General features: G+C 38.5%; 1 pseudogene; it reads right to left on the bottom strand.

Moving 5' to 3' along the window:
• NCOR1P2 (NCOR1 pseudogene 2) lies at nucleotides 437-9,081 on the bottom strand (annotated as a pseudogene).

Here is an 11,642-nt window from a genome sequence, read left to right on the forward strand (position 1 = left end):
AAGAATGTGCACAAACCAGTACCCACGTAAGTTGCCAGTGGGAATGTAAAATGGTGTTACTTCTTAGCAAATTTGGTGTCATCTATTAAATAGTTCACTGTGCATAATCTTGGGCCAAGCACTGCCATTCCTGGGCACATGCCCTAGAAAATCTCTACATGTGAACCAAAAACCAGCACCATTGTATGGAATAGAAAAAAAAAATCAAAAACAGAATGGACAAACAAATTTCACTCTCTACAATCATATGATCAGACAGTGCAGCAAGGAAAATGAATGAATGAAAGAAAACCACAATAGCAGCAAAAAACAGCAAGCCAGAATATATAAGGCATGATTCCTTTTATGTACAGTTTCAAAATATGGAAAACTCAAAAATATCTTCTATAGGGAGAAAAACACACATTCTTAGAATATTATAAGCAAAGACTTTTACTTGTTTCTTTTTCAGTTTAAGGATCTGCTGTTCTACTTTTGCAATTTCTCGATTTATACGATCCATACTCTGTATTAACTCTTCCTTTGAAAGTTTTGAAGGTGAAGCATTTTGATCATCTCCACATGGTTGCCCCGAAATTGGAGAGGATGGAGCTTCATGTTTGCCTCCAAATGTTGGATCCTTTAGAGAATAAAACCAAGAAAAACAATTTATTTCTCACTAATAGAGTCCAGATTGCCTTAAATGAAAAAGCCAGTTTTAAACCACAGCAGAACCATGTGTACTATGTGTCTAATGTTTAGTAGTAACTTTCATATTTATATATATGCAAATTCTCACCTCACTTTTGTAGTTTAGATATACCATGTACTATTTTGAAGAGCCTAAAAGCTATACAAAGTCAGGTGAGTTAGTGTTGATCAGCCTCTAGTGTAACGATACTGAAATTATAAAGAATTTATAGGTAAATAATGCAATCATGACAAAGGAAGATACCAACTTCTCAGCCATTTCCTTGCAATGGCTCTTCAAATGGTCTGAACAACTGGCTGGGAAATAGTATTATTCCAGGTAACACCTATGTGTCCACCCAACTTAACAACTATAACACAGCCAAGTGTTCCTATCAAAAGTTTTCAGGCTTCCCAAACCAAAACTGAGGTACACGAGTCAGAGAAGTGACCTAGGAACTTCAGTTGCTACTATCTCTGGGCCTACTTTCATAAAGCCCACACTACAGCATACGTAACACTTCCTTAGCCAAAAACATCCCATTGCGCCTCCAAATCAGCAGAGCTGTAGCAGAATGAAAGCCCTTTCACCCAAAATCCACTACCCTCCAGCACACATCCACACACACCCTATTAATTTCCAGTCTGCTGTAAAGACATAAGCAATATTATAAAACAGATAAATTTTAGAGTACTAATTTTACTTAGACTATGAGAAACCTACAATGAGGGTAGTTCACAGGATTAAAGAACCCTAAAATGTATTAAATAATGATTAAGGAACTGTGAAAAGTCAATAGTTCTGAGCCAAGAATGCATACAGGAGATAACTGGACAGTTGCTTCAAAACACCTTAGTACAGATATTTCAGCTAATATACATTGATGAAAAGCCTCATATTCTGTAATAGTATGCACTGAATCTAAGAGGCCTTCTGGGAAAATAAGATTAAGGCTATACCTTAAAACCTGTACAATTCTGTAAGGAAAGCACCAATAAAAGCAATAACAATTCTAATATACTTAATAAAGTTAAAGCTCCAGTATCCTTTGCATCTGGCATACAGTCAATCTTTGGCAGCTTTAAGCCCTACAGTTTATGATTCCTCTCTTAAGATGTAAATCCGTGAGGTCATTGGCTTCCAAAATAAACCAGTATGTTTCATCTAAATAAAGTATCAGTGGCCGGGCATGGTGGCTCATGCCTGTAATCCCAGCACTTTGGGATGCCAAGGTGGGCAGATCACAAGTTCAGGAGTTCGAGACCAGCCTGACCAACATGGTGAAACCCCGTCTCTACTAAAAAATACAAAAATTAGCTGGGCGTGGTGGCGGGCACCTGTAGTCCCAGCTACTCCGGAGGCTGAGGCAGGAGAACGGCTTGAACCCAGGAGGGAGAGGTTGCAGTGAGCTGAGATTGCACTATTGCACTCCAGCACGGGTGACAGAGCGAGAGTCCATCTCAAAAAAAAGAAAAAAAAAGTCAGATTTGGCATATAACCATCTGTATCAACCTCTTTTTCTCCCCCTCCCTCCTTTATCATCGTTAAAAAACACACAAGAAAATTTGTCTTCACGTTGTCTTTTCAATGCTCGAATCTTCAGTAACACCGTGAAAAGCACAACAGTTCTTAAATTCACTAAACCAGTTACTACTTGCACTAAATGAAAACTAAATGCAGAATGTTCAAATATTTTTAAGTCTTCATGTGTTCTGAAGCCTTTTTCTTCATTATGAGACGCGTACTCCTGAGAACTTAGAAATGTTAATGCATAAAGAAAGATCTTTGATGAACCACCAGGACTTTCATGATACATTAATATCATTCTCCCACTATATGCATATGAGTAAATTTGTGTTACAGAAACATATATAATAGCAAAAGAGATTACATTTTGATTCAGCAGACTTCAAAAGTGCTCCTCTGGTGATTCTGGTGCATGCCCAAAGAATTAATATTACAAATAAATATTTTCCACTGACTTCCTTTCTAAATATTAAATATTTAATAAGAAACCAAATCCTCAAGTGCCTACTTATGTAACAGGAATAGGGTGCTGGATCAAAACACACAAGATATCTGCCTTCATGAAGCTTACAATCTTGGGTTGAAACAGCCAGATACCAATCCTGAAGAAAAAGAATTAGATTCTTACCTCATATCTTACATCAAAAAAAGCCAAGTAATAGCAAACATTTATAAGAGGCTTATTAGCAAATCACAAAAAGCCTCAAGTTAAAAAAAAAAGATTCACATTATCTTGGGTTCAGGAAAGCCAAAAGCAAAAGATATAAAAGACATTAGTTTTTAAAAAAGAAAAATTGATGGATAAAATAAAAAACAATCTTCTGCTGGGCACGATGGCTCACACCTGTAATCCCAGCATTTTGGGAGGCCGAGGCAGGCAGATCACTTGAGGTGAGGAGTTCAAGACCAGCCTGGCCAACATGGTAAAACCCATCTCTACTAAAAATACAAAAATCAGCCAGGTGTGGTGGTACAAGCCTGTAATCCCAGCTACTCGGGAGGCTGAGGCAGGAGAATGGCTTGAACCCGGGAGGCGGAGGTTGCGGTGAGCAGAGATGGCACCACTGCACTCCAACCTGGGTGACAGAGGAAGACTCCGTCTCAAAAAAAAAAAAAACTACACATGCAAAAACACAATCTTCTGCTTATCAAAACAGTAATAACAAATTAAAAAGGCAAATGATTAAATAGGGAAACCATTTGCAAAACATGCACTCTAACAACTCAATATAAAATAAACCAACAGAATAATGGGCAACATATATGAAAAAACAATTTACAAAACAGGAAAAATAACCAATAAACAAATAAAAAAAGTTACATTTTACTAACAAATAGTAAGTTAAAAACAATCATTCATCAAATTAACAATCTTTTTGTTAAACGATAAACGTGGTGTCAGCAAGGATACAGAAGGAGTGGGTACCTTTATTTATTTTTATTTATTTTTTTTATTTTTTGAGACAAAGTCTCACTCTTGTCACCCAGGCTGGAGTGCAATGGTGCAATCTGAGCTCACTGCAACCTCTGCCTCCCGGGTTCAAATGATTCTCTTGCCTCAGCCTCCTGAGTAGCTGGGATTACAGGCTTGTACCACCACACCTGGCTGATTTTTGTATTTTTAGTAGAGATGGGTTTTACCATGTTGGCCAGGCTGGTCTTGAACTCCTCACCTCTGGTGATCTGCCTGCCTCAGCCTCCCAAAGTGCTAGAATTACAGGTGTGAACCACTGCGCCCGGTCAAGAAGTGGGTACCTTTATACACTGTTGCCAGGAGTTAAGAACTGGCCCTAGTCTTTTGCAGGACAATCTGGAAATACCCACTGAACCTTAAAAATCAACCTGGTCTGTAATTAATTATACTAAAAGAAATCTACCTTAAGGAAATAAGTAAGAATGCATACAAAAAAAAAACAACCTAAATAATGTATGGGCCAGCTGCAGTGGCTCATGCCTATAATCCCAGCACTTTGGGGGGCCAAGGTGTGCAGATCACCTGAGGTCAGGAGTTCGAAACCAGCCTGGCCAACATGGTGAAACCTCGTCTCCACTAAAAATACAAAAATTATCTGAACTTGGTGGCATGCGCCTGTAGTCCCAGCTACTTGGGAGCCTGAGGCAAGAGAATCGCTGGGAGATATAGGTTGCAGTGAGCCAAGATCGTGCCACTGCACTCCAGCCTGGGCAATAAAAGTGAGACTCTGTCTCAAAAAAAAAAAAACAAAACAAAAACAATGCACGTCACAACACCGTACTTCTGAACAAACAGGCAACCTAAATGTATGACAATTGATTAAATAAATATTTAATCAGTGAACTTTATTTATTCATATGTGGAATACTAAGTAGCCACTAACAATACAGTTGTAAACTTATTGGCACGAAAAGAAGCTAAGCACATATTTAAGCAAAAGTAAAGTTAAACAGAATGTACAAAGTGAGCACATTAAAATACTTGTACGGGCTGACTCTGGACATGCTGCCTATGGGTTAGCCCTGTTCCACAAGGAGCAGCAGCAAAAAAAAAAAAAAAAGAAAGAAAAAAGAACCTACAAAATAAAATAAAATAAAAATTAAAATAATACACACACAAATAGGGAAGACTCAACATGAAAATGTTAATAAATTTTAACTGGTAAAACTGTAGGTAATTTTTTCTTTCAAGCTTATTTAATTCTTCTATAAATGATATACCTAGGCTTAACATCTAAAAAAAAAATCTAACAAATGTTAGTTCTTTTTAAATCCTTACTTCTGGAGGTGGGCAGTTGGGAGAGAATGGGGAGAGGGAGATGGAAAGAGAAGTATTAGTTAGTAGTAGTAGTCATGGTTTACACTTTAGAGGAGAAAAAGCAGGACTAGAGTCAGGGGTCCTAGGTTAATTCCAACTCAGGAGGTACTACCTAGGTCACTTAATTCTTCTGAACATCCAGTTTCTCAACTATAACATGGAAATGGGTCACACTACAACACAACACACTCACTTTAATGAATGAGTTTTTAAGACACTTTTCTGCTAAAAAACGAAATTCTATAAATTACATTTGTGGTAATGTATTCAGCGATGGAAGATGACCTTTATTCATTATATTTTTAAATTTCTTTTTTTTAATGCAGCAGAACATTTCTTATAAACCCCACAGACTACTGTATGATAAAGATATTTCACATGATAAGGTGGGTCACAAAACACCTAGAAGCTTAGCTAATTTCCAGCTTACGGCAAACAATTTTTCCCCATCCAACTTACTATTTTGAAAAATTTCAAATTCACTTAAAAGTTGAAGGAACAGTGTAATGGACAATCATTTATCCTTCATCTGAATTCACCAGTAGTTAACATTTTAACATATTTGCTTTCTGTGTGTGTCTGTGTATGTGTATAAAACTTCATTTTGGCTGAACTATTTGAAAATAAATTGTAGATACATTTATTATCTTTTAAATTACTCTTCATTGCATGAAAACTCAAAGAAAATATGTGGGTACTTATTTATCTGATATCAGGGAAGAAAGGGCAATTAGGCATAAAGGTTAATAAACATTACAGAAAAAAGATTTGATGGCAGTAAAAACATTTTAAACTTCAGTATGCTTTAAAAAAAAAAGAAAAATTGAAACAAAAAGACACTGGGAAAAATATTAGAATATGTTAGGCAGGCAGATTGCTTGAGGCCAGGAGTTCGAGACCAGCCTGGCCAACATAGTGAAAACTTGGCCCTACTAAAAATACAAAAAAATTAGCTGGGGCCGGGCACAGTGGCTCACGCCTGTAATCCCAGCACTTTGGGAGGCTGAGGCAGATGGATCACCTGAGGTCAGGAGTTCGAGACCAGCCTGACCAACATGGAGAAACCCCATCTCTACTAAAAATACAAAATGAGCCGGGCATGGTGGCACGTGCCTGTAATCCCAGCTACTCGGGAGGCTGAGGCAGTAGAATCTCTTGAACCCAGGAGATGGAGGTTGCAGTGAGCCGAGATCGCACCACTGCACTCCAGCCTGGATGACAAAGCAAGACTCCATCTCAAAGAAAAGTACCAATCCTACACAAACCCCTTAAGAAAACAGGAGTAAAGAGCACTCCCCAAGCTAACATCATTCTTAATGCAGAAAGACTGAAACTCAATGCTTACCACACCACATATAAAATTTTAATTCAAAATAGGTAATTTACCTAAATGAAAGACCTATAATTATAAAACTTAGAGAGGAAAACATAAGTGAAAATTGGTCAGGCGCGATGGCTCACACTTGTAATCCCAGCACTTTGGGAGGCCGAAGCGGGTGGATCACGAGGTCAGGAGATTGAGGCTAGCAGGGTGAAACCTCATCTCTACTAAAGATACAAAAAAAATTAGCTGGGCGTGGTGGTGCCTGTAGTCCCAGCTACTCGGGAGGCTGAGGCAGGAGAATGGTGTGAACCCGGGGGGCAGAGCTTGCAGTGAGCCGAGATTGCACCACTACACTCCAGCCTGGGCAATAGAGTAAGACTTCACCTCAAAAAAAAAAAAAAGCAAAACAAAACAAAAATAGAAAAAAAGAAAACGTAAGTGAAAATCTTAGTGACCTTGAATTTCGCAAAAACGTCTTAGATTTGACACAAAAAGCACAAAAAATGAACAATAAAAATAAGACATCGGGGCTGGGTGCAGTGGCTAACACCTGTAATCCCAGCATTTTGGAAGGCCAAGGAGGGTGGATCACCTGAGGTCAGGAGTTCGAGACCAGCCTGGCCAACATGGTGAAACTCCATCTCTACTGAAAATACAAAAATTACCTGGGCGTGGTGGCACATGCCTATAATTCCAGCTACTCAGGAGGCTGAGGCAGGAGAATTGCTTGAACCTGGGAGGCAGAGGTTGCAGTGAGCTGAGATGGCACCATAGCACTCCAGCCTAGGCGACAGAGCAAGACTCTGTCTCAAAAAAAAAAAGTACATCGGACTTCATAAAAATAAAAAATGTACGCTCCCCAAAGGATACTGTTAAGAAAATTAGGCAATACTTCTTTTAATAATCTAGATACAACAGATATATAGATCTATGTTTTCTAAGTAATTTTACCTATAATAATCAAAAACTGGAATAGGTGACTGGATAAACAAATTGTGGTATACCCATCTCAACAATAAAAAGGAATGAACTGAGACATGCCACACATGGATAGATCACAGAAGTATTATGGGAAGCAAAAGAGGTCACAGGCAAAAGAGTTCCCATGAAGCTCAGAACGTATACAATGTTTGATGATAGATAGCAGATCAGTGGTTTCCTAGGAGCTGAGGTTAGTAGGAAGTGGGAGAGGAGGACTGACACGGGTGGGTGCCAAGGAACGTGCTGGAGTGTTAGAAATGTTGTTCATCTTCATTTTGGTGATGGTTCTATGAGTTTATGACTTTGTCAAAATTTGTTACAATGTACACATATAATGAGTGCATTCTAATATAGATATATGTGTATATATATAAACTAACTTCAAAGTTAATTTTGTTTTTTTTAAGACACGGTTTCACTCTTGTTGCCCAGGCTGGAGTCCACCGGCACGATTTTGGCTCACTGCAACCTCTGCCTCCTGGGTTCAAGCGATTCTCCAGCCTCAGCCTCCCAAGTAGCTGGGATTACAGGTGCCTGGCTAATTTTTTCATATTTTTAGTAGAGATGGGGTTTCACCATGTTAGCCAGGCTGGTCTCAAACTCCTGACCTCAAGTGATCCACCCGCCTCAGCCTCCCAAAGTGCTGGGATTACAGGCGTGAGCCACTGCGCCCGGCCTGATTTTATGAAAAAAACACCAGCAACAATAATCCGGAAAATTGGTAATCAGATGAATAACACTGGTGTAGGAGGGGGACAACACAAGCAAAATTCAACATCCAATCATGACAGAAATTCTCAAACTAGGAACAGAAAGCAACCTCTTCAACCAAAAAAAGAATCAACAAAAACGTGCAACTAACATTACACGTAATGGTAAAAGACTAAATGCCTCCCTACACAGGAACAACGTTAAGAATGCCCATTCTAACTCTGTAATCATGACTACACTTCAAAGGAGTCCTCAGTAGGACCCCGTAGTACATTCTGATGACAAATCTGCTTTCTGAGTCTCTGAGATGACCGTTTTATCCCATCCTTTCCTATTTTTCTTTAAACCTCTTACACCCATATCCTTGGTCTACCCTGAGATGATTATTTCACCTCATACTTTATTTTTCACAAGGTAAATCAATCTCTTACAAACTCTTCCTATGATAAAGTCTTCCTTCCTATCTACCATCCCTTCCTTCCTTCCTACCTACTATACAAATCTTCGTACCATCAATCTCTCAAGAAGACAGAGGTCTTTATCCTGGCCATCACTCAAGACATGCCAAGTTATCTGGCCAGCTTAAAACTCAACCACAACTTGAGAGTATAAATATAGGTCTTACCCTAGAAATTCTAGAGAATTGATAAGTTTTCTATTTATCATCAACTCCTGTCATCAAAAGCAAAGACAAGTTCAACTCCTGAAATTGGCATAAAGCCACAGTAAGAAGACAGAAGTAATTAATTCCCAACCTTTGGTTCCTCGTCTTTGTAAATAGCTCTTGCCACTTAAAAAAAAAGGTAAATTTGGTGGTTTCTACCAACATGTGTATTAAATAGGAAAAGCAAAGAAAAACACAAAAAACACGTGCAATTTGCATAGTATTTGTTCCTTACCTGCTGGTGGCAGGTGCTGGGAAACGTATACTTTACAGAGTGAGGAGGATAATGACTTTGTTCTGTGCTGAATGCTCCTTGGTTGGGAGGGTAACATGAACTTGACATTATCAGTAAAGAAGTCCTCACCAGACTGTGAGATCAATGCCAATAAACAATCATGTTTCTAGGAAACCACCTAAACAGGATGGGAAAAAAATAGAATTAATAAGAACTAAAACACCAAGTGTACTTCTAATAAATTATAACTATAGCTACATATATAAAACCACAATTACCAGTAAAAGCTTCCTCTCAAGTATTTACTTAATAAAAGTTACCAAGGTTTGAAAACATTAATGCGTCATTTCTTTTTATATTTAAAATAGGTTAATATGTGACAAATAATATAATTAGCTATATAAAGTAAAAACAGTATATAAAAACAGCATAATATCTGGCACATAGTAACTGCTCAGTAAATAACTTTCTATAAATGTCTGAGGAATATAAAGACAAAAATACATGGTTTTAAATTTTGGAGTTGATAAGTCAATCATGAAAATAATTCAAGAGTAGTTTTAAGGTAAGCATTTGTGCAGAGGAAGTATTGTCTTTATTAAATAATTCTGAAGCAAGGATGGTAAAATACTAAGTTTTGTAATCACAGATGGTAGGTAGATGGACATTTGTTATGTTACTCTTTGCATGCTTCTATGGAACTGAAATAGCAAATAAAGAAAAAGAAGGCCAGAAGTAGTGGCTCCTCCTGTAATCCCAGCACTCTGGGAGGCTGAGGTGGGCAGATCACTTGAGGTCAGGAGTTCGAGACCAGCCTGGCCAACATGGTGAAACTTCTTTTCTACTAAAAATACAAAAATTAGCCGGGCATGGTGACATGCGCCTGTAATCCCAGCTACTTGGGAGGCTGAGGCAGGAGAATAGCTTGAGCCTGGGAGGCAGAGGTTGCAGTGAGCCGAGATCACGCCATTGCACACCAACCAGGGCAACAGAGTGAGACTCCATCTCAAAAAAAAAAAAAAAGAAAAACAAAGCCATCTTCATTATAAAGTATATTCCTACTTGTCCACAATTCTAGACTAATTTGGTTTGTCTGTCTTTTCTTGTGCCAATGCCACACTTTTCAAATTACTCTAGTATTATGAGGTTTCATATCCAGCAGGGCAAGTTTCACCTCACTGTGCTTTGTTGTTGCTGCTACTTTCACCACCTTCCCAGCTATTCTAGCACATTTCCTCTTACACACAAGCATCACAGTCAGCTTGTCAGGTCCCAGAGAAATTCTGGATGAGAACACATAAATATTGAATTCACAGACTGACTAATGGGAGAACAGGTACCCTTGTACTCCTGAGTATTCCCATCCTAAAACATGATTATCTATGTTTATGTTTCAGGATAACACAAATATTTATGTTATACATAATATGGGAGTATTTTACATACATATGGTAGAGAATATTACATATGTATAAAAATGTGTGCCATAATATATAATTTCTATCTTAATTATGTATAAAACTCCCATGACAAAAATTTTATATACACATATGCACATGTGCATGTATGTACATACACTCTTACTTTAAGACTGGAGTTCTATTATTACCTAATTGGGTGGTTTTAAAAAAATAGAATTTAAATATAAGATGAAAATTATATAATTGTATACATAAAAATATAACAGATGTAATTTTATATATATAAAATCTCCACCCATTTAATACTTTATTATGAAAGTTTTAATTTTCTTTCCATCATTTCAATGTATTTGGGAAGAGGGCAAATTCAAAAAATAATTCAGTATGACAAATTGATCAATTTCCCAGTTTTTATCAGTATATTTTTTATCAAGTTAGGTTTAGAAAATAAAATTTTCTAGGGAATTGTCATTCAATCTAACTTTAAAACAAAACTTATAGGCTGGCCACAGTGGCTCACATCTGTAATCCCAGCACTTTGGGAAGTCAAGATCGGAGGATCTCTTAAGGCCAGGTGTTCAAGGTCAGCCTGGGCAATGAAGCCAGACCTATCTCTACAAGAAAATTAAAATAATAATAATAATAATTAGTTAGGCGGCCAGGTGTGGTGGCTCATGCCTATAATCCCAGCACTTTGGGAGGCCGAGGCGGGCGGATCGCGAGGTCAGGAGATCAAGACCATCCTGGCTAACACGCTGAAACCCCGTCTCTATTAAAAATACAAAAAAGTAGCTGGGCGTGATGGTGGGTGCCTGTAGTCCCAGCTACTCGGGAGACTGAGGCAGGAGAATGGCGTGAACCTGGGAGTTGGAGCTTCCAGTGAGCCGAGATCGGGCCACTGCACTCCAGCTTGGGCGACAGAGCAAGCCTCTGTCTCAAAAAAAAAAAAAAAAAGAAAAAAATAATTAGGCATGGCGGTACACACCCATGGTCCCAGCTACCTGGGAGGCTGAGGCAGGAGGATCACTTGAGCCCAGGAGGTCAAGACTGCAGTGAGCCATGATTGTGCCACTGCACTCCAGCCTGGGTGATACAATGAAACTCTGACTCAAAAAATAAAAGAAAAAACGTATAGAAAGAACTTTAAGGCCAGGTGTGGTGGCTCATGCACTTTAGGAGGCCAACGTGGGCAGATCACGAAGTCAGGAGTTCAAGGCCAGCCTGGCCAACATGGTGAAATCCAGTCTCTACTAAAGATACAAAAAATTAGCCAGGCATGGTGGCACATGCCTGTAAACCCAGCTACTCAGGAGACTGA

This window comes from Homo sapiens, chromosome 17 (assembly GCF_000001405.40).
Source record: "Homo sapiens chromosome 17, GRCh38.p14 Primary Assembly".
Lineage (NCBI taxonomy): Eukaryota > Metazoa > Chordata > Mammalia > Primates > Hominidae > Homo > Homo sapiens.